Genomic DNA, 27,095 nt, shown 5'->3' with positions numbered 1-27,095 from the left:
TGTGTGTGTGTGTGTGTGATGGGAGTCTCGCTGTGTTGCCCAGGCTGGAGGGCAATGGCGCAATCTCCACTCACTGCAAGCTCCGCCTCCTGGGTTCACACCATTCTCCTGCCTCAGCCTCCTGAGTAGCTGGGACTACAGGCACCGGCCACCACCACGCCCGGCTAATTTTTTGTATTTTTAGTAGAGACGGGGTTTCACCGTGTTAGCCAGGATGGTCTCAATCTCCTGACCTCGTGATCCGCCCGCCTCAGCCTCCCAAAGTGCTGGGATTGCAGGCGTGAGCCACCGCGCCTGGCCTGGTGATTTGTGATTTTAAGGTGATTTGTTACTCAGCAATAGATAACTGAAACAGTCGACAACATTTAAAAACCTGAAACTGGCCCACATGGCATGTGCCTGCGAATCCCTTGAGCCCAGGGGTTCAGGTCTGCAGTGAGCTATGACTGCACCAGTGCACTCCAGCTCTGGTCAACAAAATGAGACCTTGTCTCTAAAAGAAATTTAAAAATAAAAAATAGGCTGGGCGCAGTGGCTCACTCCTGTAATCCCAGCACTTTGGGAGGCCGAGGTGGGCGGATCACAAGGTCAAGAGATGGAGACCATCCTGGTGAAACCGCATCTTTACTAAAAACACAAAAATCAGCAGGGCGTGGTGGCATAAGCCTGTAGTCCCAGCTACTCGGGAGGCTGAGGCAGGAGAATCGCCTGAACCCAGGAGGCGGAGAGGTTGCAGTGAGCCAAGGTCGTGCCACTGCCCTCCAGCCTGGGCAACAGAGTGAGACTCTGTCTAAAAACAATTAAACATAAAAAAATAAAAAATAAAAACCTGAAACTGTCACATAAAAACATGAGTTTGGGGACTTCTTTTTTGAAAACACTGGACCTGTGTAGCTCACTTGGACTTCAGGGCAGAATCTTTTTCTTTTCTTTTTTTTTTTTTTTTGAGACGGAATCTGGCTCTGTCGCCCAGGCTGGAGTACAGTGGCGTGATCTCGGCTCACTGCAAGCTCCGCCTCCCGGGTTCACGCCATTCTTCTGCCTCAGCCTCCTGAGCAACTGGGACTACAGGCGCCCGCCACCAGGCCCGGCTAATTTTTTGTGCTTTTAGTAGAGACGGGGTTTCACCATGTTAGCCAGGATGGTCTTGATCTCCTGACCTCGTGATCCACCCGCCTCGGCCTCCCAAAGTGCTGGGATTACAGGCGTGAGCCACCGCGCCCGGCGCAGGGCAGAATCTTAAAGGTGTGCCCACAACCCCAGTGAACGAAGAAGATCTGTGGTTACAAGAAGACAACTGCTTCATCAGAGGGAAGAGTTCTGCCTGCTCCTGTGACTTCTCCCACAGCAGAAATGATGAGAGCTGGTGACATCCAATCATAACTCTATTATCTTTCCCAAGGCAGGTTCATCAGGCAGGTCATTCATCAGCAGGTACACATAATTTCTGGGCAGAGAGAGATAGAGAGTTCTCCCAGGAATTTTGCAAACAAAATATGTTCTCTTTCCTTGTTGAAATGTATAAAATTTATCTTCTGGGAGAATACATACAGGGTGCTTTGTGATTTACTTCAGAGTAGAAGGCAGGCACACTTGATTTACTTCATCGTTCGTTCAAGAGAAGGAAGACAATTATCTGGTTGTAATTATCCTCGTGGCCATAAAGGGAATTTGACTAAGTGTCTCCTGGAATTGAGAGGAACCCCAATTCATCCAGCTTGATTTGGGGGCTCTGTTCCAGGCTGGCAGGCTGGGGGATGGAGGTATCAAGGGTAGCATGTGAAAAATGCTGTTTCCACTCTCACCACCATGGGAAGGTGGGAAAGGAACAACTGTCAGGAAGAGAGGCGACCCAGGAAAAAGGGAACAATTTCCTGGCTTCTTCCCAGTACTCCAGACCCTAGGGGACTCTACAGCAAGGAAATTACATTGTTTGTCATGAGCCTGACTCAACCGGATGTGAAGGAAGAAGGGTTCTATCTATGTAACATTCAGAAAAGCTGACACAGACAACTCTCATTGAAATGAAGCAGAAAATGTTCAATCACACACAATCAAAATAAAACCACTGGGCCTGCAGTCCTGCCTGTCAATGAACAGCTGAGGCCCAGCAGTGCTGGCTGCCACATGGAAGTCAACATCCCCCTTCTGCCTCCCTGTGTTTTTTTACCCCATCCCCCCACCACCACGGGTTTCCCTACAAGCTTTAATGCTCAGTAGCTGAATCTATAGACAAGGGATTTAGCCTATCTCTGAAATCTGGGGTGACAACTCCATGGAAGTACTGGGGTATAACCTAAGACAATCATTTTTTTGTTTTTTGTTTTTCGGTTTTTTGTTTTGTTTTGTTTGTGCTCTGTCTCGCTCTGTCACCCAGGTGACACTACACTCGCTCTGGAGTGTAGTGGCCCAATCTCGGCTCACTGCAAACTCTGCCTCCCAGGTTTAAGCGATTCTGCTGCCTCAGCCTCCGGAGTAGCTGGGATTACAGGTGTGCGCCATCATGCCCAGCTAATTTTTATATTTTTAGTAGAGATGGGGTTTCACCATGTTGGCCAGACCCGTCTCAAACTTCTGACCTCAAGTGATCTGTCCGCCTCGGCCTCCCGAATTGCTGGGATTACAGGCATAAACCACCACGCCCGGCCTAACCTGAGCCAATTCTAAGAGATAAGTACTATTGTCATTGTTTCTATTTCACAGGGAAAGAAATCGAGGCACAGAGACGTTCCATAGCTTGACCAAGGGCACAGCTGGTAAGTGGCAGACCTGGGATTCCAACACAGGCAGTGGAGCTCTAGAGTCCAAACTCGTAACCACCCCATTAGCTGCTTCTGGGTGTCAGATGGGCAAGCATTTTCTGAGTTGTAAACAAAAACCTCGGTCGGGCGAAGTGGCTCACACCTGTAATCCCAGCACTTTGGGAGGCCGAGGCAGGTGGATCACGAGATCAAGAGATGGAGACCATCCTGGCCAACATGGTGAAACCCCATCTCTACTGAAAATACAAAAATTAGCTGGGCGTGGTGGCATGCGCCTGTTGTCCCAGCTACTGAGGAGGCTGAGGCAGAAGAATCACTTGAACCCAGGAGGTGGAGGTTGCAGTGAGCAGAGATCACACCACTGCACTCCAGCCTGGTGACAGAGCGAAACTCCGTCTCAAAAACAGACAAACTTCAGTGCACCCTGAAGGGCATATGATATATTTCTAGGGAAGCAGACCCAACCAAGCTCCCTATCTCTGCCCCAGGTCAGTGCTGGAGAAGGACCAGCCCTGATGCCTTCCACACCAGGCAAATGCAAAGCAGAACACGCCCTGGAGTGCTGTGCCCTTCATTATGGATAGCCAGGGAGGTCTTGATAGCTGGTGGCTTTCTGCCCTGCCTTCCCTTCCTCCTGCAATGGTCTAGTGCCATGGTTAAGAGCAGACACTGGAGCCAGACCATCTGTCTCTGGATCTGGCTCTAATTTACGTATGAAGTGGGTAGCAGCTACCTCATAGTGCTTGTTGTATGTGATGAGTTTGTACATGTAAAGTGCTTAGGATAGTGTCTGGCACATAGTACGTGCTAACTAAATGTCAGCTGTAATTGATAATGATTCCTCACTTTATCAGCTCTATATCTTCCTCCCATCCCAACGTTCTCAAGCATCCGGATTATTTTGTTTTGACCAATTCCCATTTTGGAGGGACCTTATCTTCAGAGGACAAAACTGATCCTAAGGGGGGAAGCAATAATGGAGGATTCTGGGCATCACAGCAGGCTCTTGGGAAGTCTTTCAGGAATAGGAGCTCTCCTGGGAACACTAATGTTGCCCAGGTGAGTGGCTTTTCGCTGCACTTGCCTCTAGAGTCTGGAAGGAAGATAGGGGAACTACTGGCAGCATCCCGTCTTAAGGAGAACGAGAAGGAGGTCCCATGGATGCTTTTGCCTCTCCTCTCCTTTCCCCTTCCACAGACACCACTCCTCATTCATTCTAGGCCCCACACACCCCTCTTCCTCTCAGGACTCCGGTGACTTGGCCTATCTGCTAGGAGAGCAATTGAATTTCATGCAAGATTAATGGTTCTTGTCCTCAAATGGCATCACTCACTGGGTCTGCAATGCAAACCCCCATTCCCCATCTGTGGGGCCAGAGCCAGCACAAGAGGTAGAGTGGCCTGCAGGCAAGAGGCTTGGCCAATGGTAAGTCTCCTGGGTCCTGTCCTGACTGGCTGAAGGAGAAAAGCAATACCTAGAGCTGAGCCATGGTGAGGAGGTTGGACCGAGGGTGAGATAGAGAGCTGAGAAGGAGAGCTGGAATCAGAGCACTACCCCAGGGCCTGGGACTCAGTCTGACAGAAGAGATGCCTGGCCTGGGCAGAGGCTCTTGTATGGCAGAGCCCTCTCCCTGTCTCCCAGACCACATTCACTTCCAGGCATCATCAACCAGCACTATTACATTTACAGAGAGCTCTGATACCCATAATCCCACTCAATCCTCAGGAGAGCATGTGGGGTGGTAACTGCTGTTACGTCTGTGAAAACAATCTCAGAAAAATTGTCAATCATGCATTCACTTAAACATCTATTAAGTGCTTGCTGTATGCCGGGAAATAAACCTAGCTCTCCTGATTCAAGGTCAGTGTTCTTTCCACGTGTTTGCTTCAATATGTTGATTCCTTCTTCCGTCTCCTCCTAAATTTGCCTCCCAAACACTCGCCTTCTGTTGCGATTTTTTTTTTTTGAGACGGAGTCTCATTCTGTCACCCAGGCTAAAGTGCAGTGGCGCAATCTCGGCTCACTGCAACCTCTGCCTTCCGGGTTCCTGCGATTCTCCTGCCTCAGCCTCCCAAATAGCTGGGACTACAGGCACTCACCACCATGCCCGGCTAATTTTTTATATTTTTAGTACAGACCGGGTTTCACTGTGTTAGCCAGGATGGTCTCGATCTCCTGACCTTGTGATCCACCCGCCTTAGCCTCCCAAAGTTCTGGGATTACAGGCGTGAGCCACCGCGCCCGGCTCTGTTGTGATTTTTGAAATGCCTACAGTTCTTTGATACCCTTCCCTTCAGGAAATGAAGTCTGAAACCCCTCCTTTTGAATGTAGGCTGGGCTACCTTCCAACTAATATAATAAACTGGAAATGATGGCGTGCAACTTCAGAGGAGGCTGGCCCATAACAGGCACTGCAGCTTCCTGCTTATTTTCTCTGTCCCTCTCTTTCTTTGTCTCTTTCTGATCACTTGCTCTAGGGGAAGCCAGCTGCCAGGTCATGATCAGACCAGTGGAGAAACAGAGGCCTCTGACCAACAGATATGTGAAGTAAGTTTGGGAGTAGATCCTCCATGCCCAGCTGACATCTTGACTGCAGCCTCATGACAGACCCTGAGCTAGATGAGACCTCTTCAAGCTGTTCTTGGATTTCTGACCCTCAGAAATTGTGTGATCTCACAATAATAAATGATTGTTGTTGGGTTTTTTTTTGTTTGTTTGTTTTGAGACAGTGTCTCGCTCTGTTGCCCAGGCTGGAATGCAGTGGTACAATCACAGCTTACTGCAGTCTAAACTTCCTGGAGCCACTGCACCTGGCCAAATGTTTGCTGTTTTAAGCTGCTGAGCTGTGGGGTAATTTTTATGCAGCAACAGATCACCAACACATCTTTTCCACTATGGAACACCCTCATCTCCCAAAGCTAACCCCTTTGGGCAGTTTGAGTCACTTAAAAGTTTATTTTTCTCATACATTCGGCTGAGATAGTAAAGGGAGTCAGAACTCTGAGTTCAAACATCTGTGGTTGCTTCTTTCTAGCTGTGGTACATAAGGCAAGTTATTTAACCTCTCTGGGTCTCAGTTTCACATCTGTCAAACAATGATGATACCTTCCTGGAAAGAAGAGTGTGGAGATTAAACACATCTGACCCAATGCTGGGCACTCGGTGGGTGCCTGCTAAATCTGAGTTCCCTCTGGCCCTGCTAATTTTCTTTTTTGTTGTTGTTGTTTTTGTTTTGTTTTGTTTTTGAGACGGAGTCTCGCTCTGTCGCCCAGGCTGGGGTGCAGTGGCACAATCTCGGCTCACTGTAAGCTCCGCCTCCCGGGTTCAGGCCATTCTCCTGCCTCAGCCTCCCGAGTAGCAGGGACTACAGGCGCCCACCACCACGCCCAGCTAATTTTTTGTATTTTTAGTAGAGACAGGGTTTCACTGTGTTAGCCAGGATGGTCTCGATCTCCTGACCTCGTGATCCGCCCGCCTCTGCCTCCCAAAGTGCTGGGATTACAGGAGTGAGCGACTGCGCCCGGCCTGGCCCTGCTAACTTTCTAATTCCTGACTCTACTTGCATGCTCCCAAGACCCTGCCCAAAGAGGCTGGGACTAGGATCAGGGGTTTTAAGAGCTCCTCATCCTCCTCCTGCAACAAGAGACAGAGGAGAGGGGCTGTACCAGCGATCCCCCTCCAGTGTGAACATGAGAGATTTGTCCACAGGAAGTAGGGTGTGCTGCTGGAAAGGTCCCAGGGAACCTTAACAGATATGTATTGGCTAGGCTTGGCCTCTAGCCCAGCTACCCCAACACCTCCTCCCAGGGTGAAAGGAGTCTAGCTTGCCACTCACCAGTTCACTGTGAGTGAAAACTGCTATTATTTCTGAGTCTTTCCCAATTTCTTTTCCTTTTCACCAGTTTTCTTTCCCCCAATCCCTTTACAATTTTTTTAAATTCACAAATAATATATGAAAAATAATAACAGCCAACATTTCCTGAGAACTTAGCAGCCAAGGTTCCAAGACGGCTGTGTCTCATAATCACTCTGTGAGGTAGATTACTATAATTAGCCCCATTTTACAGATGACAAAGCCAAAGCAAATGGGTTAAGTAAATTGTCCAAGGTCACACAGAGGCAGAAAGAAGCTAATAGAAGCTGAAGCTTCAGGGTCAGTAGCTCATTTATGCAAGCTGCTCCAAGACTCTGTATTCATATTTAATTGTCCTTTTCTTAAAGAAGGTAATGAAAACTTCATGCGGTAACAAGAGGTCAGTGTGCTGTTTTCTTGCAGATATTTTAAAAATACATTTACATCTATAAACACACACGGAAATAAATGCCCCCCTACTCTGTGTATGGCTGGCACCCAGCTCCTTTAACACAACGTCTTCACTGACTCCACTTTTCTAACCATTGTGTGGTGTGCACCACTGATGCTCTACTTTAAAATTTACCAGCCTTTCTGAAGTTGAGCCCTGTGCTCCCCTCCTCTGACTCTGGCCCCACCCTGGGGTTCCCACCCTCTTCTCAGCTTTTTCTCCCTTCGCCCTGTCCCCTACGCTGTTTCCCCCCTCATACAGCCCCTTTCCCTGTGTCCTCACTACTTCATGCCCCAATTCCTTCCTGCCTCTCGCGTTTCTCCTCTCTCCTCGCCACCCCGCCCCGTCCTTCACCGCCCACCCTGTTTTCCCCGCTCGCTGCCCGCTCTCTCCCACTCCAGCTTCCTCCAGGCCTGCCACATTACCCTAATTCACAGCACCCCATCCTTCCTCCCTCACTCCCCGCATCTCCCGCCCCCACCCCCTACACCCCTTCACGGCTAGGAGGGAGCGCACAGCCGGCGGGCTGCGACGCGCGCTGACAGTGTAATGAATGGCTTCAGCTGTAATTAGCGACCCCGCGGCTAATCACGATGTACATTTACATTTTAAGTGCTGCAGAGGGAGCGCGGGAAGGGGAGGGGACCGGCAGGAGGGAATGCGGCCCTTTTCGGCGTTCTCCCTTCACCGACTGTGGAGAGCAGTGAATGCGAGTCTTCTACATCCGACAGCAGTTTAGGAGGTTGGGGACGGCTGGGTCCTCGAGGGCCAACCTGGCCGGACGCAGAACCGCCCCGTCCTCGCCCTACACAAACCTGAAGCTCCCAGGACCCTTTCTCCAAATGACAGAACTCCGCCCAATCCCTTCCAAGTGATCGTGCAGCCCAAACTTGCATACTCCCGGGGACGGAGAGCTCGCTCCTTCCACAACCAGCCCGTTCCAACGTAACTTCCAGCCTTTCGGGGGCTTTTTCTCAGGGCCTGACCTTACACAGCCCTCGGTTCTCCACGCCCCGCTACGCGCTGCGGACAGTCTTTGTTTCTTCCCAAGGCTGCTGTGCCTCCAGCCCCCACCGCTGTGTGGGGCCCATGGAGACTGGACCGAGACCGAAGTCCCGGTTCGGAGCATACCCCGAGGGTTCCTGATCCCACCAGGAGACGGGGAGGGGGTCAGCCATTCACACATTGCGGTGCCAAGGTCCAGTCGCCGCAGCCACTCCCAGGAAGTGGTAAGAGGGTAAATCCCGGTTCTGAACAGCAGGGACCGAGGGCCGCTCCCAAGAAGTGACAAGGAAGTAAACCCTGGTTTTGAACAGCAGGGACTGAGAGCTGCTGCAGATGCCCAGAGGGCGAGAACAGCGGGAGGAGGGAGAACAGCATCTGGCAGCCCCATCTCCAACTGAGGCCCAGCAATCCAAGGCACTGTCATGCCCCCAGCACTTTCCCGGTGGCCCGCCCGCCCCAGCTCTCTGTGTCCCTCCCCGCCACGCCCCGTCACAGTCCCCTGGCTAGGACCAGATCTGCCGCCCTCTCTCAGTCCTGACTGCGTAGGGCGGGTGGAAGGAGGACGGGGGAATCCCGAGAGCAGTTTTAGGGAGGGTCGGGCCCCTTCTCAGACCCCCTCCCTTCCATCAGTAGTCCTGACAGCCCCCAATCTCATCTTTCTCTAATGCTTCTCTCACCCGGCAGGAGACCCCGGGCCTCTCTTTCGGTCCCGTGGAGTTTCCGCCGGAGAGGCATCCAGTAGTTCCATAATGCCCCCAGGGCTTCAACTCCCCATCTTCCTCCCTTCTTTCTCTCTTTTATTTTTTTTTAAGTCTTTTTAATTTTTGTGGGTATACAATAGGTGTCTATATTTAGAGGGTACATGAGACGTTTTGATACAGGCATGCAATGCATAATAATCACATCCTGGAGAATGGGGTATCCCTCCCTTCTCTTTTGTATTTTATTTAATTAATTAATTTATTCATTTTTCGAGACAGAGCTTTGCTCTGTCGCCCCGGCTGGAGTGCAGTGGCATGATCTCGGCTCACTGCAGCCTTCAGCTCCCGGGTTCAAGCGCTTGTCCTGCCTCAGCCTCCCGAGCAGCTAGGATTACAGGAGCGTGCCACAACGCCGAGCTGATTTTTGTACGTTTAATGGAGACGGGGTTTCACCATGTTGACCAGGCTGGTCTCGAACTCCTGACGTCAAGTAATCCGCCCACCTCTGCCTCCCAAAGTGCTGGGATTAAAAGCGTGAGACACCGCGCCCGGCCCCTCCCTTCTCTTTTTTAAAACCTGCGTTCACCTAGCCTCCTTTCGAAAAGGACCCCACTGGATCTCAAGGGGCCAATGTTGCCTGAGCGAATTCCGCCTGGGAGGAAGGGGGCGGCCACGTTGGCAAGGCATCGTGCCTGGCTCACCCTAAAGCGCGCAGCTCTAAGGGTGGGCTCTAGGGCCTGGGTGGAGCGAGCCTACCGCCTTTTCAGAAGAGGTCACGCCCGCTTCCCCACGCGCCTCGGGGAACAGCCTGGCCCAAAGCCTCACTCCTCACGTCCCAGGGGTGGACGGGGGTCCGGGAGCCTCGAGCTCCGGGCAGGCGTGGCGAGGCTGAAGTCTGGGTCTTCCGCGCCCCGCGAGGACCACGCCGCGACGTAATCGCCCGCGGGGAGGCGCGGAGTGGAGCCGCAGCCAGCTCCTCCCGCACTCTGCTGACCGCGCACTAGCTGTCCTTGAGGCAAGAATACTTGGGAGCGGAAAAAAGGTGGGGGTGTTCCCCGGGGCGGGGGAGGAGGGGCAAGGCCCCAGCAAGCCTCTTGGAAATCTCTCCCTGGGAGGGGACGAGGGGCGGCCTTCAGTTGCAAATGGGAAGGGCTCGGATACCGGATTTGAAGCAGTGTTTGCACGGCAAGCGCAGCTTTTATTTAGACTGCCGGTTTGTGAGGGTTGGCTCTCAGAGCGCTGATGGCGATTATAGTGGAACTTCACCTTCACCTGCTCATGCGCCCCGCAGCGCGCCCGCTCCCACGCCCGCGTAGCTGAGGACCCAGACTCGCCAGGAAAGGCTAGTGAGGCTGGGGCCCGGGCGGGCCCGGCCGGGCCGGGTCAGGGGAGGGGCCTGGCGGCAGGGGCGGGGCCTCAGCTAAAGGCGCGGAGCACCCGGCGCCGAGAGCGCTGAGTAGAGCGGCGCCCGCTCGAGAGAAGTGGGGCCGAGATCGCGCCGTCCCAGCCCGCCCGCCGGCGTCTGCGCTGCTCCGGCGCCCTTACCCCTGCTGGCCCTTGCAAGGCGCGACCGGCGGCCATGCAGCCCCGGGGCTGAGGCCGCCCCATGGCAAAGCCGGCGGTCCCGGCGACGACGGCGCATGGAGAACTTCCGTAAGGTGCGCTCCGAAGAGGCGCCAGCGGGGTGCGGGGCCGAGGGAGGCGGCCCGGGCTCCGGCCCCTTCGCAGACCTGGCGCCGGGCGCGGTGCACATGCGGGTCAAGGAAGGCAGCAAGATCCGGAACCTGATGGCCTTCGCCACCGCCAGCATGGCGCAGCCAGCCACGCGCGCCATCGTCTTCAGCGGCTGCGGCCGGGCCACCACCAAAACCGTCACGTGCGCCGAGATCCTCAAGCGCCGCCTGGCGGGCCTGCACCAGGTCACGCGGCTGCGCTACCGGAGCGTACGCGAGGTGTGGCAGAGCCTCCCGCCTGGGCCCACGCAGGGTCAGACGCCTGGCGAGCCGGCCGCTAGTCTCAGCGTACTTAAGAACGTGCCCGGCCTCGCCATCCTACTTTCCAAGGACGCGCTGGATCCGCGACAGCCCGGCTACCAGCCCCCGAATCCCCATCCTGGTCCCTCGTCCCCGCCAGCCGCGCCAGCGTCCAAGAGGAGCCTAGGGGAACCCGCAGCTGGAGAAGGCTCCGCGAAGCGATCGCAACCCGAGCCAGGGGTTGCGGACGAGGATCAGACGGCCTGAAACTCCGGACTGTGGGCCACCTAGTCCGGCAGGATCTTCCGCCAGCGCCTCCACCTTCAGATGTACCTCCAGCCTTTCACTCCTCGGTCCTCCGGAGCCCACAACCTGGACACAGCTCCTCAAGACAGGTAGCATGGACCTTAAGGCGACAAGAGAGGGGCCCCAGGAGTGGCAGGAGAGGATCCCCGACCACCCTAGGGAAACTTCGTGCGATAATTGCTGCTTATGCCCGTGTTGCGTGAAGACACGGAACTTCACCTTTTCTGGGACCTTCTTTGGGGGAGAATGGTGGACAGTGGGATTCTGGAAACTTGTTTGGGACCCCCAAGGGTTAAAGCCACCCAGCATTCACGAAGAGCACCTGAAGTATGGAAGCTGAGAAGAGTTATTGGAATCACCCCCACCGTTGACAGAGGAAGGCAGGGGGTGAGAATTAACTGCTTGAGGGTAGGAGAGTCTGAGATGTGGGGGCCCTATTCCGCTCCCCGCCCTGGGACAGTTTTCCTTTCTAGTTTTCTTTCCCCTGCTTCAGAGGAGCATCTCTGAGGGTTCTAGCTCTTTTAACACCCCTTTTCCCCCTGCTGGCCCAGAGGGAGACCCAGGACTGAACTCTCCAGGCCTCCTCCCCTGAGCCCTGCAGCTGGCTGGAGTCTTGCTTCCAATAAAACAAGCACAAAAATGGCTGTGTCCCCCATTTTTTTTCTAACCACCCGCCTGTGCAGAGACAGCTCTCGCCTGGCCCCTTGTGTCTCCCCTCCCCTCCAGCCTTGCGTCCTGAGTCTTTGGAGTCTTCAGGGTCAGGCACAGAGACTGAACAGCTTCAAAATGGTGCAAGGCACTGCCCAGTCCCTGGCTTCTTCCTCTCTCCTCCCCCACTCCGCCCTCCCGGGCTGGCCCTGGCCTCAGAGGCTGTTGCAAATGGGGGCCCGTGTACCCCTGTACATCGCCACTAAGGGAAAGGGAGCGGCACATTGTTTTTCTGGGAGGGGAAGGAAGGAGTGGAAGGACAGCATCGATGAACTCTCCTGGAGGTCACTGCAAAGGGTGGCAGACCCTGCTGAGGTCCCTGAATCTGCAGCCTCCAGACAATAAACTGAACCTTACCCAGAAGGCTGGCACAAAGCCCCCAGCTCTGTGGGTAGGATCTCCCCTTCACTGCCCTCTCTCTGAGAAAGGACAGCACACCCTTGGGAAAGGGGGAGGAGAGAGACTGAGCACAAATCCACTGCTGGAAATTACTATTCAGCAGAGAAGCTGGGTCTTGGGCTGTGAATCACTGCAGGCCTCCTGATAAGCTGCTGCCTCCAGCCCTGCACAGCTGTCTGTTGAGAGATAACAGCCTCATAAGCTTCTCTGCCCAACTCCAAGCCAGCTGGGGGGTGGGGGTGCTGCTGTGTGCTGGAAGAGCTCTGGTGAGTTGGGGGTGGCATACAGCCCCAGGATCTCAGAAGCAGATCTCATCCCATGCAACTCAGCAGCACCCCTGGAAAGGGGGAGATGCGGAAGAATGTATTTATAAGTCATTTTGCTGGCAGAACCCTGAAATAAATCCTGCTGGTGACAAGAGATACGTTCTGTGGCTGACTGGAGGGGCTCTTAGGGAGGTTTCCCTCCCCTGCAGTATCTCTGCTTGAGCTTTGGAGTGAGCTTTGTCATCCAGACTTTGTCCCTCGTTGCTCTCCCCAAATTCCTGCTCTTGATGAGTCCCTGGAGAGGGCCAAGGGGTTTGGGTTTGCTTGTCTGACCCTCTCAGGGGTGGCCCAAGAAGCATGGAAAGAATGTAAACTGTCCTGACAAGATGGCCTAGCTTCTCCTGGACTTCAGCATCTAAAGGCAGTGATAAAACTTGGACAAGGTCCTGCATGGTAGAAGCTTAAGGGAGACTGGTCTTGGTTCTGAAAAGGGTCCAACTTTCCAAGACAACAAGTGACTGATAGCCGGGTTACCAGGACTATGAAAGCAGGGCCTGAGGCCGGGCATGGTGGTTCATGCCTGTAATCCTGTAATCCCAGCACTTTGGGGGGCCAAGGCGGGCAAATCACGAGGTCAGGAGCTTGAGACCAGCCTGGCCAACATGGTGAAACCCCGTCTCCACTAAAAATACAAAAATTAGTCAGGCATGGTGGCGGGCGCCTGTAATCCCAGCTACTCAGGAGGCTGAGGCAGGAGAATCGCTTGAACCTGGGAGGCGGAGGTTGCAGTGAGCCGAGATTGCATCACTGCACTCCAGCCTGGGCGACAGTGTGAGACTCCGTCTCGAAAAAAAAAAAAAGAAAGCAGGGTCTGCTAGTCTTGTCACGGAGATAAGGCTGCAATGGATTTTTTTTTATTATTTTTTTTGAAACGGAGTATCTCTCTGTCGCCCGGGCTGGAGTGCTGTGGTGCGATCTCGGCTCACTGCAACCTCTGCCTCCTGGGTTCAAGCGATTCTCCTGCCTCAGCCTCCTGAGTAGCTGGGATTACAGGCGTGTATCCCCACACTCGGCTAGTTTTTGTATTTTTAGTAGAGAAGGGGTCTCACCATGTTGGCCAGGCTGGTCTCAAACACCTGATCTCAGGTGATCCACCCGCCTCGGCCTCCCACAGTGCTGGGATTACAGGCATGAGCCACCACACCCGGCCTCTCTTTTTTATTTTTTTTATTTTAATTATTATTATTATTATTTTGAGAAGGAGTCTTGCTCTGTCACTAGGCTGGAGTGCAGTGGTGCAATCTCAGCTCACTGCAACCTCCACCTCCTGGGTTTAAGCGATTCTTCTGCCTCAGCCTCCCAAGTAGCTGGGATTACAGGCATGTGCCACCACGCCCAGCTAATTTTTGTATTTTTAGTAGAGACGGCATTTCACCATGTTGGCCAGGATGGTCTCAATCTCTTGACCTTGTGATCCACCTGCCTTGGCTTCCCAAAGTGCTGGGATTAGAGGTGTGAGCCACCACGATTTTATATATATATATATTTTTTCGCCCGGCTGTAGTGCAATGGCACAATCTCAGCTCACCGCAACCTCTGCCTCCCAGGTTCAAGTGATTCTCCTGCCTCAGCCTCCGGAGTAGCTGGGATTATAGGTGTGCACTACCACGCCCGGCTAATTTTTTTATTATTAGTAGAGATGGGGTTTCACCATGTTGGCCAGGCTGGTCTCAAACTCCTGACCTCAGGTGATCCACCCGCCTCAGCCTCCTGGAGTGCTGGGATTACAGGCATGAGTCACTGCTCCCGGACTCTTTTTATTTTTTTATTTTATTTTTTATTTTGAGACGGAGTCTCACTCTGTTGCCCAGGCTGGAGTGCAGTGGCACAGTCTTGGCTCACTGCCGCCTCCGCCTCCCAGGTTCAAGCAATCCTCCAGCCTTAGCCTCCTGAGTAGCTGGGATTACAGTCGTGGGCAACCATGAGCAGCTAATTTTTGTATTTTTATTAGAAACGGGGTTTCACCGTGTTAGCCAGGCTGGTCTTGAACTCCTGACCTCAACTGATCCACCCGCCTCGGCCTCCCAAAGTGCTGGGATTATAGGGGTGAGCCACTGCCCCCGGCCTGCAGTGGATTTCTCTTGATGGGTCAGAAAAGTTCCCTTCCAGCCCAGAAACCTATCCTGGGGGGTAGAGAAGAGAGGAACATGTTTATCCAGCATCAGAGCATTAACCTTCCCCCAAGCAGGTCATGAAACACTTTCTTTTCTGCACTCCCGCCCCACCCCGGCAAGTTTGGTTCCCAGGCTTTCAGTAGGTGTGCTGACTCACCAATGGAACCCAGCACGCATGAGCACTCCATCTCTGCCCTACTGATTTCTGGCCCCACTGACCTAGGAGCAGGCTCCAAAAGAAGGTGACAGATGTTCCTCTACCCGCTCCCCACCACCAAGGCTGAAGTGGGAACCTCAGAAGTCCTGGGATAAAGGGAGGGGTGGCTAGGGGAGCACCTCAGAGACAAGGCCCATTTCAGGAGCCGACTAGTGGCAGAGTGGGAGAGTCCCTCTTGTGAAACCCCATTTTTCCAATAGTGGTCTCTACCCAGGAGCTTCCTGGACCCAGCCTGGTGCTTGCCTTGGCCCCGCCTTGGGATACTTCCAGACTAGGAGCGGCAGTGAAGTCTCACACCTAGAAAACTTAGGTCACAAAAACAAAATCCATTTGGAAACATAAAAGTATATAATGCAAGGCCCAGAGCTCATGGTCGAATGAGTGATGGACTTCCACCTGAGCCTTCATTCATTCAACAAGTGTTCACTGTTGTACCGGGACCCAGTCTAGAAATGGGCTGGGGCTGGGTATAGAATCACAGCATAATCAGACACTGTACCTCAAAGAGGGCCGAGTCTTGGCCAGGTGTGGTGACTCACGCCTGTAATCCCAGCACTTTGGGAGGCAGAGACGGGGGGGGGGGGGTCACCTGAGGTCAGGAGCTTGAGACCAGCCTGACCAATATGATGAATACAAAATTAGCCGGGCATGGTGGCGGGCGCCTGTGATCCCACCTACTTGGGAGGCTGAGGCAGGAGAATCGCTTGAACCCAGGAGGTGGAGGTTGCAGTGAGCTGAGATGTGCCATCGCACTCCAGCCTGGGCCCATCTAGCACAGTGTGATGATAGAAGATGGGAGCTCTGAGAAGGGGAACTTACCTTGCCCAGAGGTGCTGATGGAGCTGGTTCTCCAAGGATCAGGAGTTAGCCAGCTGACCAAGACTGGACAGGGAGCTCCAGGCAGAGCATAGAGAGCGGGTGTGTATGATGCTGAGGCTGCCACAGGTGTCTGATGGATAGAGGAGATGGCAGAGGGTAACGTGTAGAGATGCAGGTGAACTAGAGTGCTAGGTGGGAGCCAGGTCACAGGGAAGTGAGGGAGCCGGTGGGAGCCAGGTCACAGGGAAGTGAGGGAGCCACTGGGAGCCAGGGAGTGCTCTGAGCCCAGATCTGACTGGTGTTTGAGAAGGATCCCTCTGACACCTGTGTAAGTGGGAGTGGATTGGAAGGGGGTCTGATTAGACCCTAGAGACAATGCAGGGATAAGAGATGAGACATCGGCAATGCGGAGGGAGATGGGAGCAGATGTGAGAGCTACCCAGGCTAGGTAGGATTTCACTGCTATTACAGCCAGGAAATGGGAGGGTTCTCCTTGAGCATTAACCCTGCCTGGCCAGGACTTGGTCTGCCTTTCTGGCACCCCAGGGGACGTGCTATGTCAGGACCAAACAATGGAGTGATTATTTTTTGTGGGAGGTGGGAGTACCCAGCTTCAAATTGGTAAATCTTTAAGAGCTGTTGTCCATTGCCATGAATCTGCCAGAGTGTATTCACTTCACTGTTAGGTGCATACCTGGGCCAGACACACACACTGCCTACCCCCACCACCCCTTGCCCTTCATCTCCCAAGCTGATTAGTTCAGTTTTGGTCATTGCTATGCCCACACTGACCACTAGGTGATGCTCTCGTCCCTCTATTTCACTGAGATGTTGAAACACTCGCAGGTCTCCAAGAGAATGGTAGTTAGAAAGGCAAAGGAAAGGAAGGAAGGGAAGGAGAATGAAAGAGGAGGAAAATGCAGCCACAGGAGGGTCTCCTCAAAGGCATCAAGTTTCTTCCTTTCAGAGCACAGATACTGGTTTATAAGTGTGTCCTCATTAGTCTTATCTTTTGGCTATTGGTCACCCTACTAACCCATGAGCCCGTGATTGACTGGATCCTGCCTGCCTTGCTCCTTGCCCAGCTCCTGGCACATGAGAAGCTCTTAGAGAGTTGTTGATTGAATGGACTTGCCGCTGGCCAGGCACAGTGGGTCATGCCTGTAATCTCAGCATTTTGGGAGGCCAAGGTAGGAGCGCTGATCACTTGAGCCCAGGAGTTCCGAGTCTAGCCCTGGCAACATAGTGAGATACCATCTCTACAAAAAAAAAAAAAAAAAAAAAAAAAAAAAATTAAATAGTTGGATGTGGTGGTGTGTGCCTGCAGTTCAGTTACTCAGGAGACTGAGGTGGGAGGATTGCTTGAGTCTGGGAGGTCCAGTCTGCAGTGAGCCATGATCACTCCACTCTTTCAAACCAACAAAAGACTTTCTGAGCCAGGTTTCTGAACTGTTCTGATGTCACATTACAATTCTTAACCATCCAACCAATGGCCAAAGCTGCCCCTATCTCTTCCACAGCTTCTCATCCCATCTGAGCCCTTGGGTACCCCTGCCTTTGGAGAAGCTAGGGTCACCATGGCAATTGGGTTTGTATATTCAGCTTGAGGATTCCAGTGTTGTTTCTGACACCTGAATATTATAGGTGCTATGAATTGAATTTCGTGCCCCCCCACCAAGACATGTTGAAGTCCTAATCCCTGATACCTTATTTGGAAACTCTGGCTTGGCATGGTGGCTCATGCCTGTAATCAATCCCAGCACTTTGGAAGGCCGAGGCAGGTGGATCACCTGAGGTCAGGAGTTTGAGACCAGCCTGGCCAACATTGTGAAACCCCATCTCTTCAAAAATACAAAAATTGGCCAGGCGTGGTAACTTATGCCTGTAATCCCAGCTATTCAAGAGGCTAAGGCAGGAGAATGACTTGAACCCAGGAGGTGGAAGTTGCAGTGAGCCACCAGATTGTGCTACTGCACTCCAGCCTGGGTGACAGTGAGACTCTGTCTCGAAAAAAAAAAAGGAAAAAAGGCTGGGCACGGTGGCTCACGCCTGTAATCCTAGCACTTTGGGAGGCCGAGGCGGGTGGATCACCTGAGGCTGGGAGTTCGAGACCCGCCTAACCAACATGGAGAAACCCTGTCTCTACTAAAAATACAAAATTAGCCGGGCATGGTGGTGCATGCCTGTAATTCCAGCTACTCGGGAAGCTGAGGCAGGAGAATCCCTTGAACCTGGGAGGTGGAGGTTGCAGTGAGCCAAGGTCAAGCCATTGCACTCCAGCCTGGGGAACAAGAGCGAAATTCTGTCTCAAAAAAAGAAAAAGAAAAGAGATTCAGCAGATTTAATAAAGATCTAAATTAAGAAATTAGGATGAGGTCATATTAAGTAAAATGGGCCCTTAATCCAATACAATTTAATTCAATGAGGAATCCTTATAAAATAGAGAAGAGACAGAGATTGATTACACAGAGGGAAGAATACCATGTGAATATGGAGGCAGAGGTTGGATTTATACACCTGCAAGCCAAGGAAGGTTGCAAATGACAGAAGCTAAGAGAAAGGCATGGAACAGATACTTCCCTAGAGTCTTCAGAGAGCATGGCCCTGCCCCACTTGATCTCAGACTTCTAATCTCCAGAACTGTTAGACAATAATTTTTTTTCTCTATGCTTTTTTCTTTTCTTTTTCTGCGATGGAGTTTCGCTTTTGTTGCCCAGGCTGGAGTAAAATGGCGCGATCTTGGTTCACTGCAACCTCCACTCCCAGGTTCAGGTGATTCTCCTGCCTCAGCCTCCTGAGTAGCTGGGATTACAGGCACCTGCCACCACGCCCAGCTAATTTTTGTATTTGTAGTAGAGATGGGGTTTCACCATGTTGGCCAGGCTGGTCTCGAACTCCTGACCTCAGGTGATCTGCCCACCTCGGCCTCCCAAAGTTCTGGGATTACAGGTGTGAGCCACCGCGCCCGGCCTCCTCTGGGTTTTAAGCCACCCAGCCTGTAGTACTTCATTATGGCAGCTAGGACTCTAATCCAACAAGTGTTCTCACAGCCTTCAGTGGGAATAGGGAAGAGGAATGTGGGTTGTTTGCCAAGGCCCCTGTTACCAGAATTTCCAGCCCTGCGTGGTGGGAAGGTCTCTACTTTGCAGCCTTGTGCCAACAAACGTTATGTCTGATGTTGTATGGAAGAGATCATAGGCTTTGGAGGAAGTCAGTATGATTGAGGCTTTGGGCAAGTTAATTCTTCTCTGAGCCTCAGTTTTCTTGTTTGCAAAATAAACCAGATTGCTGTGGAGAAAAGGGAGATAATACTACCGGAACTCTCAACCTTGGCTCATTGTCAGGATCGCTTTGGACAGTTATTAAAAATACAGATTACTATCACTTCTCCACCTTTTGGCTAAAATCAAGTGTAAAAATACGGATTACTGGCCGAGCTTGGTGGCTCATGCCTGTAATCCCAGCACTTTGGAAGGCCAAGGTGGGCGGATCACTTGAGGTCAGGAGTTCAACCTGGCCAACATGGTGAAAACCCATCATTACTAAAAATACAAAAATTAGCTGGGACTTGGTGGCGTGGGCCTGTAATCCCAGCTACTCAGGAGGCTGAGGTGGGAGGATTGCTTGAACCCAGGAGGTGGAGGGTGCAGTAGGCTGAGATCGCACCACTGCACTCCAGCCTGGGCAACAGAGTGAGACTCCATGTTAAAAAAAAAAAAACAAAACAAAACAGATTACGGATTTCAAAAATTAACTGGGCATAGTGGTATGCACCTGTAGTCTCAGCTACTGGGAAGGCTGAGACAGGAGGACTCCTTGAGCCCAGGGGTTAAAGGCTGCAGTGAGCCATGTTCACACTACTGCACTCCAGTCTAGGTGACAGAACAAGACCGTGTCAAAAAAAAAAAAAAAGCCAGCACAATGGCTCACGCCTGTAATCCCAATACTTTGGGAGGCCGAGGTAGGCAGATCACCTGAAGCTAGGAGTTTGAGAGCAGCCTGGCTAACATGATGAAACCCTATCTCTACTAAAAATACAAAAAAAAAAATTAGCTGGGCATGGTGGCCAGTGTCTGTAGTCCCAACTACTTGGGAGGCTGAGACAGGAGAATCACTTGAACCCGGGAGGCAGAGGTTGCAGTGAGCCAAGATCGCCCACTGCACTCCAGCCTGGGCACAAAACTAGACTCCCTCTCAAAAAAACAAAAACAAGCCAGGTGTGGTAGCTCACGCCTAAAATCTCAGAACTTTGGGGAGGCCAAGGTGGGCGAATCACTTGAGGTCAGGAGTGAGAGACCAGCCTGGCCAACACGGCGAAATTCTGACTCTACTAAAAATACAAAAATTAGCCGGGTGTGCTGGCAGCCGCCTGTAGTCCCAGCTACTTGGGAGGTTGAGGCAGGAGAATCGTTTGAACCAGGGAGGCGGAGGTTGCAGTGAGCAGAGATCATGCCACCCCAGTCCAGCCTGGGCAACAGAGGGAAACTCCATCTCAAAAGCAAAACAAAAACAAAAAACCAAAAAAGAAAACGAAACAAACAAACAAAAAACAGATTACCTGGGCTAAACTCTAAACCAACAGGATCAGATTCTCCCAGGAGGGACCTGGGAATACACATTGTAATAAGATCTTCAGCTGATTTTGATGGTTCATCAAGATTGTTTATTCTCTGAGATGTTATGTAGCCACATTTACAGTGGTAAGAGAGACACAAAATTAAATCCCCTTCTTTTGCTTTTCACCTTCAGTAATGGTTTGAACATGTTTCTGGAGAGAAACACTGTTAAATAACTGCCACAGCCTGGGTTGGTGTCGCAACCTGTAGTCCCAGCTACTGGGGAGGCTGAGGCAGGAGGATCACTTGAGTCCAGGAGTTCAACACCAGCCTGGGCAAAATAGCCAGACCCAGTCTCTTAAAAAATAAAAAGCAGGCAGGGCGCGGTGGCTCACGCCTGTAATCCCAGCACTTTGGGAGGCCGAGGCAGGCGGATCACGAGGTCAGGAGATCGAGACCATCCTGGCTAACACGGTGAAACCCTGTCTCTACTAAAAATACAAAAAAATTAGCCAGGCATGGTGGCAGGCGCCTGTAGTCCCAGCTACTTGGGAGGCTGAGGCAGGAGAATGGCGTGAACCCAGGAGGCGGAGCTTGCAGTGAGCTGAGATCATGCCACTGCACTCCAGCTTGGGCGACAGAGTGAGACTCCATCTCAAGAAAAAAAAAGGCATTAGGATATAGGATACAGACGTGTTCACACAGACGAAAGACCATGTGAAAACAGGGAAAAAAGATGTCTATTTATAAGCCACTCACAAGAAACAACTGGGCTGGATGTGGTCCATAATCCCAGCACTTTGGGAGACTGAGGTGGGAGGATTGCTTGAGCCCAGAAGTCCAAGGTCGGCCTGGCAACATAGCAAGACCCTGTCCAAAAAATTGTCCAGGTGTAGTAGTGTTCACCTGTAGTCCCAGCTACTTAGGAGGCTGAGGCAGGAGGATCACTTAAGCCCAGGAGTTCGAAGCTGCAGTGACCTATGGTCATGTCACTACTCTCCAGCCTGGGCAACAGAGTGAGACCCTGTCTCTAAAAAAAACAAGACAAAGAAACAAAAAATCAAACTAATCTCGAAATTTAATTGTCATTGTGTTGGTGTTGGGAGGTGGAACCCTTAAGAGGTTTTTAGGTCATGAGGGCTCTACCCTCATGAATGGACCAGTGCCATTATTGCAAGAATGAGTTCTTGGCCAGACGCGGTGGCTCATGCCTGTAATCCCAGCACTTTGGGAGGCCAAGGTGGGCGGATCACCTGAGGTCAGGAGTTTGAGACGAGCCTGGCCAACATAGAGAAACACCGTGTCTGCTACAAATACAAAATTAGCTGGTCATGGTGGCAGATGCCTGTAATCCCAGCTACTTGGGAGGCTGAGGCAGGAGAATTACTTGAACCCAGGAGGTGGGGGTTGTGGTGAACCGAGGTCGAGTCATTGCACTCCAGCCTGTGGGGGGAAAAAAAGAATGATTTGTTCATCAAGGGAGTGGGTTCACCCCCTCTTGCATTCTCTGCCCTTCCACCATGTGATGCCTTCTGCCATGGGATGATGCAGCAAGAAGGCCCTCACAAGATGCCAGCACTTTGATATTGGACTTCTCAGCCTCCAGAAATATAAGCCAATACATTTCTGGTCATTATAAATTACCTGTACAAAAATTAGCTGGGTGAGGTGGCACATGCCTGTGGTCCTAGCTACTCAGGAGGCTGAGATGGGAGGATTGCTTGAGCGCAGGAGGTCAAGGCTGCAGTGAGCCAAGATCTCACCACTGCACTCCAGCCTGGGTGAGCCTGTCTCAATAAATAAATAAATAAATAAATTACCGAGTCTCAGGTATTCTGTTATAGCAACACAAAACAGACTAAAACATCCCCATCTCACAACTTGCCCTGCCCCGCTACAATTTTACAACAAGAAAATGCTCTTTTAGAGAGCAACAGTAAGCATTTATTGAGCTGTTACTGTATACCAGCCAGGACATAGTGTTTTATGTGCATTTTCTGAGGTAATCGTCCCAACAATCTATTAACCTATTAGGTAGGTTCCATTATTATCCCATTTTTTATTTGTTTTGTTTTTTGTTTTTTTGGAGATGGAGTCTTGCTCTGTCGCCTACGCTGAAGTGCAGTGGCGTGATCTCGGCTCACTGCAACCTCTGCCTCCCAGGTTCAAGCGATTCTCCTGTCTCAGCCTCCCAAGTAGCTGGGACTAAAGGCGCGTGCCACCATGCCTGGCTAATTTTTTGTTGTTGTTGTTGCCCAGGCTGGAGTGCAATGATGCAATCTTGGCTCACCACAACCTCCACCTCTCAGATTCAAGCGATTCGCCTGCCTCAGCCTCCCCAGTAGCTGGAATTACAGGCATGCTGGCATACTTGGGAGACTGAGGTAGGAGAATCGCTTGAAGCCGCGAGGCGGATTTTGTATTCTTAGTAGAGACAGGGTTCTCCATGTTGGTTAGGCTGGTCTTGAACTCCCAACCTCAGGTGATCCTCCTGCCTCGGCCTCCCAAAGTGCTGGGATTACAGGCGTGAGCTGCCACACCCGGCTATTCCCATTTTTTAGACAAGGAAACAGTGGTTCAGGGAATTGGAATAATTTGCCCAAGGGCATAAGGCAGAACTGTAGTTTAATAGCGGTGAGGGTGTCATTCTCTTGGGTGACTTTTTTCATTAGGCTCTGTTTTCGAAGCAGTCTAGTATTGAGATCCTGTTCACTGGAGATGCTCCTCAAGTAGGGGCCTGAGGAAATGGAAACCATGTAGACTCAGTAGACTAATGGCCTCGGGGGCCACTTTCAGTCTTTTTTTTTTTTGAGACAGAGTCTCACTCTGTCGCCCAGGCTGGAGTGCAGTGGCGCTATCTCGGCTCACTGCAAGCTCCGCCTGCCGGGTTCACGCCATTCTCATGCCTCAGCCTCCCAAGTAGCTGGGACTACAGGCGCCTGCCACCACACCCGGCTAATTTTTTGTATTTTTAGTAGAGATGGGGTTTCACTGTGTTAGCCAGGATGGTCTCGATCTCCTGACCTCGTGATCCGCCCGGCTCGGCCTCCCAAAGTGCCGGGATTACAGGCTTGAGCCACTGCACCCGGCCCCCACTTTCAGTCTTAAAATGGTAGGATTCTTTCATTTTTTTCCCCCTCTTTTTCCTGAGCACATGCTTAATTCCCACCAGAGAAAATAAGAGCTTTTCTAGCCTGGTGCGGTGGCTCATGCCTATAATCCCGGCAATTTGAGGGACCAAGGCAGGAGGATTGCTTGAAGCTAGGAGTTTGAGACCAGCCTGGGCAACATAACAAGACCCTATCTCAACAAAAATGTTAAAAAAATTAGCCGGGAATGGTAGTGCGTACCTGTAGTCCCAGCTACTTGGGAGGCTGAGGGGGGAAGATTGCTTTAGCCTAGGAGGTCAAAGCTGCAGTGAGCCATAATTCTGTCACTGCACTGTAGCCTGGGTGACAGAGCATGACCCTATCTCAAAAACATAAAAAAGAAAAGAAAAAGAAAAGAGAAGAAAAAACAAAAAAAAGAGCTTTTCTTGCACGTGAACTTAACCGTTACTAGAAATTCACATGGTGGAACAGTGTCTTTATCCTCACAAACTCCTCAGTAATGTCATTCCATCCCCCACACACATCAGAGGGACTGCCTCATCACAACTTTTCCAGAATGAAGGCCCTGAGCTGTAGCAGAAAGCTGATAGGCTGATCCACTGGTGACGATGACATTTCTGAGCCATCAGAAGTCCAGCTGTTGTGTTTTAAAAAAAGAAGAAGAAGCAAAAGTCCAGGTGTGGCTTCTCCAGAGGGACAGCGAAGGATTTCAAGGTAGGAAATGGCAGGAAGAGATAAAAGACCCTGAAGACCTTGAGTAAGAACCAGGATGTCTGCTCTGAGCCCATCAGGGAAGGGGTACCCTCCAGAAGCAATGGGATGGGCTTCAACCTGTGGACACATCTGGGGGCCAACTAGGAAACAAGCAAGGGCCCCCGTGCCTTAGTGATATGGTAGGCTGAATTCAAAGATAGCCCCAGGATTCATGCCCCCTGTTTACATGCCCTTGTACAATCTCCTCCTCTTGAGTAGGGGGCAGAATCTGTGAATTTCTTTAGATATCATTCCCAAGACTAGTTTACTAGTCAGTCTACTTTGAGTGAATCAAAAAGTTACCCTGGTGGGCTTGACCTAATCAGGTGAGGTCTTTTTTTTTCTTTTGACTGAGTCTTCTGTACCCCTGGCTGGAGTGCAATGGTGAGATCTTGGCTCACTGCAACCTCTGCCTCCCGGGTTCAAGCGATTCTCCTGCCTCAGCCTCCCAAGTAGCTGAGATTACAGGTGCCCACCACCACGCCCTGCTAATTTTTGTATTTTTAGTAGAGATGGGGTTTCACCATGTTGGCCAGGTTGGTCTCGAACTCCTGACCTCAAGTGATCCGCCCACCTTGAGATGAAGTCTTTAAAAGCAGGTAAAGTGTCAGAGAGACACTTTCCTGCTGCTTGGAATAAATAAGCTCCAGGATTGTAAGAAGGGCCTATGGAGAGAGCCAAGTGGAGAGGACATCAGGGCACTCTCTAGGAGTTGAGAGTGTCCTTGGCTGACAGCTACCGAGAAGAAATGAGGACCTTGTCCCACCACTGCAATGAAATCAATTCTGCCAACAACCTGAATGACCTTAGAAGAGGCCTCTGAGCTCCAGATGAGATGTCTAACCTAGCCGTGATCTTGATTTCAGTCTTGTGATAACCAGTAGAGAATTCAGTTATGCTATACCTGATAAATTGTTAGGCAGCAACAAAAAATGAATGCAGGCAATTAGGGCTGTGGACTGCTCTCAAGGTAGCAGAGAATTCAGAACTGACTGAAAGACAAGCAAAACCTACCTTCAGCAGTGGTAGGGAAAGAACAATTTCTGGAGTCAGACAAGTGGGGACTAAAACCTAACTACCACTATTTGTTAGCTGTATGATTTTTGGCAAGTATCCTTTAAGTCTATTCCTTTATCAATAAATCAGGGCTAGGCCGGGCATAGTGGTTCATGCCTGTAATCCCAACATTTTGGGAGGCCAAGGTGAGAGGATCACCTGAGGTCAGGAGTTCAAGACCAGCCTGGCCAACATGGTGAAACAGCGTCTCTACCAAAAATACAAAAATTAGACGGGCATGGTGGCGAGCACCTGTAGTCCCAGCTACTCGGGAGGCTGACGCAGGAGAATCACTTGAACCTGGCAGGCGGAGGTTGCAGTAAGCCAGGATCACACCACTGCACTCCAGCCTGAGCGACGGAGCGAGACTCCACCTCAAAAAAGAATAATAATAAAATAAAATAAATTTTGAAAATAGGGATAAAAACTTATCTCACAAGGTTGTTATGAGGCATAAATGGGATAATAGTTTGTGGCATGTAGTGGCACATTGTAAATTATAGTCATAATTGTATTTTAAAAAGAAAAAAAAACACTTCAGCAGCCAATCTAAGTGACTGTAGGCAAAGTGGAGGGATTCTGACAGCAGGGAGACCAGCTGGGATTCAAGCAATATAGCCCAGTGCTTTCTTACTTGCTTTTCTTACTTTTCTTACTTTCTTACCCTGACCTCATCTTAAGCTTCCAGCCTTGGAGATTTGATGAACACTAATTGAACTGCAGAGAGGTCAAAGGTTTCCCCGTTGCCCTTTGGCCAGTGTAGGGGCAGAAAGGGGTGATCCTTTTCCTCACCATCATAAGGGTCATGGCTGACACTCCCATAACAAAAGACAGGTTAAAAAGAAAAAACCATAACAAGTTTACTTGATCATAGTTTTATGTGACATGGGAGGCTTCAGACTGAAGACCCATAGATACAAGGAAAATCGTCCTTTATGCTTAGGTTCAATAAAGCATATGTAGAATTGTGATTGGACAAAAAGGGTCCAAGCTAACGGAAATGGATTGAGTGGGAAAACCCAGCAAAGCCTGTCTGTTCAAATCCTTCTGGCCTCTCTTTTGTAGCATTTCTTCCTCCCTGTCCTCCCTACTACTGGAACGAGTGTCTTTTCTTTCTTTTTTTTGGAGATAGAGTTTCACTCTTGTTGCCCAAGTTGGAGTGCAGTGGCAAGATCTCGGTCCACTGCAACCTCCACCTCCCAGGTTCAAGCAATTCTACTGTTTCAGCTTCCTGAGTAGCTGGGATTGCAGGCATGCACCACCATGCCCGGCTAATTTTGTATTTTCAGTAGAGACGGGGTTTCTTCACGTTGGTCAAGCTGGTCTCAAACTCCAGACCTCAGGTGATCCCCCCACCTCAGCCTCCCAAATTGCTGGGATTATAGGCATGAGCCATCGCGCCCAGCCTTAACTTCTTTTTTTCTTTTTTTGAGACGGAGTCGCACTCTGTCACCCAGGCTGGAGTACAGTTGTGCGATCTCGGCTCACTGCAACCTCCACCTCGCGGGCCCAAGTGATTCTCCTGCCTCAGGCTCCAGAGTAGCGTGCGCCACCACACCCAGCTAATTTTTGTATTTTTCGTAGAGACGGGGTTTCACCATGTTGGCCAGGATGGTCTCGAACTCCCGACCTCAGGTGATCTTCCCACCTCAGCCTCCCAAAGTGCTGGGATTACAGGCATGAGCCACCATACCTGGCCATGTTTCCTTTTCTCCTTTTTTTTAAAAAATTTTATTTTTGAGACGGAGTCTAGCTCTGTCACCCAGGCTGGAGTGCAGTGGTGTGATCTCGCCTCACCGCAACCTCCACCTCCTGGGTTCAAGTGATTTCTGGCTAATGTTAGTAATTTTAATAGAGATGGGGTTTCACCATGTTGGCCAGGCTGGTCTCAAACTCCTGACCTCAAGTGATCTCCTGGCCTTGGCGGCTCAAAGTGCTAGGATTACAGGCGTGAACCACCGTGCTCGGCCTTAATTTCTTTATGGC

The 27,095-nt window shown here is 51.2% G+C and overlaps 1 protein-coding gene across 1 annotated transcript, besides 7 other annotated features; it reads left to right on the top strand.

Annotated features, from left to right (window-relative positions):
* Positions 8,056-8,612: an enhancer, noted in NCBI's record as "H3K4me1 hESC enhancer chr15:75250725-75251281 (GRCh37/hg19 assembly coordinates)". NCBI's record gives its function as "activates a minimal SCP1, AML or CMV promoter by ChIP-STARR-seq in naive H9 embryonic stem cells {active_cell/tissue: H9 hESC(naive)}" and the evidence as "EXISTENCE:reporter gene assay evidence [ECO:0000049][PMID:30033119]".
* Positions 9,607-10,540: an enhancer, noted in NCBI's record as "H3K27ac-H3K4me1 hESC enhancer chr15:75248797-75249730 (GRCh37/hg19 assembly coordinates)". NCBI's record gives its function as "activates a minimal SCP1, AML or CMV promoter by ChIP-STARR-seq in primed H9 embryonic stem cells {active_cell/tissue: H9 hESC(primed)}" and the evidence as "EXISTENCE:reporter gene assay evidence [ECO:0000049][PMID:30033119]".
* Positions 9,607-10,581: a biological region, named in NCBI's record as "H3K27ac-H3K4me1 hESC enhancer GRCh37_chr15:75248797-75249730".
* Positions 9,932-10,581: a silencer, noted in NCBI's record as "silent region_6662". NCBI's record gives its function as "represses an Ori minimal core promoter by ATAC-STARR-seq in GM12878 lymphoblastoid cells {active_cell/tissue: GM12878}" and the evidence as "EXISTENCE:reporter gene assay evidence [ECO:0000049][PMID:35858748]".
* Positions 10,224-12,578, top strand: RPP25 (ribonuclease P/MRP subunit p25). The gene has a single exon (NM_017793.3). It carries the CDS (start codon positions 10,413-10,415, stop codon positions 11,010-11,012), a length of 600 nt encoding a protein of 199 aa, NP_060263.2. The 5' UTR covers positions 10,224-10,412; the 3' UTR covers positions 11,013-12,578.
* Positions 10,541-11,474: an enhancer, noted in NCBI's record as "H3K27ac-H3K4me1 hESC enhancer chr15:75247863-75248796 (GRCh37/hg19 assembly coordinates)". NCBI's record gives its function as "activates a minimal SCP1, AML or CMV promoter by ChIP-STARR-seq in naive and primed H9 embryonic stem cells {active_cell/tissue: H9 hESC(naive and primed)}" and the evidence as "EXISTENCE:reporter gene assay evidence [ECO:0000049][PMID:30033119]".
* Positions 11,475-12,408: an enhancer, noted in NCBI's record as "H3K4me1 hESC enhancer chr15:75246929-75247862 (GRCh37/hg19 assembly coordinates)". NCBI's record gives its function as "activates a minimal SCP1, AML or CMV promoter by ChIP-STARR-seq in naive H9 embryonic stem cells {active_cell/tissue: H9 hESC(naive)}" and the evidence as "EXISTENCE:reporter gene assay evidence [ECO:0000049][PMID:30033119]".
* Positions 16,260-16,309: an enhancer, noted in NCBI's record as "active region_9819". NCBI's record gives its function as "activates an Ori minimal core promoter by ATAC-STARR-seq in GM12878 lymphoblastoid cells {active_cell/tissue: GM12878}" and the evidence as "EXISTENCE:reporter gene assay evidence [ECO:0000049][PMID:35858748]".

Source organism: Homo sapiens, chromosome 15 (genome assembly GCF_000001405.40).
Source record: "Homo sapiens chromosome 15, GRCh38.p14 Primary Assembly".
NCBI lineage: Eukaryota > Metazoa > Chordata > Mammalia > Primates > Hominidae > Homo > Homo sapiens.
The sequence above is the reverse complement of the archived record's forward strand: the minus strand, read 5'-3'. Positions and strand labels throughout refer to the sequence as shown.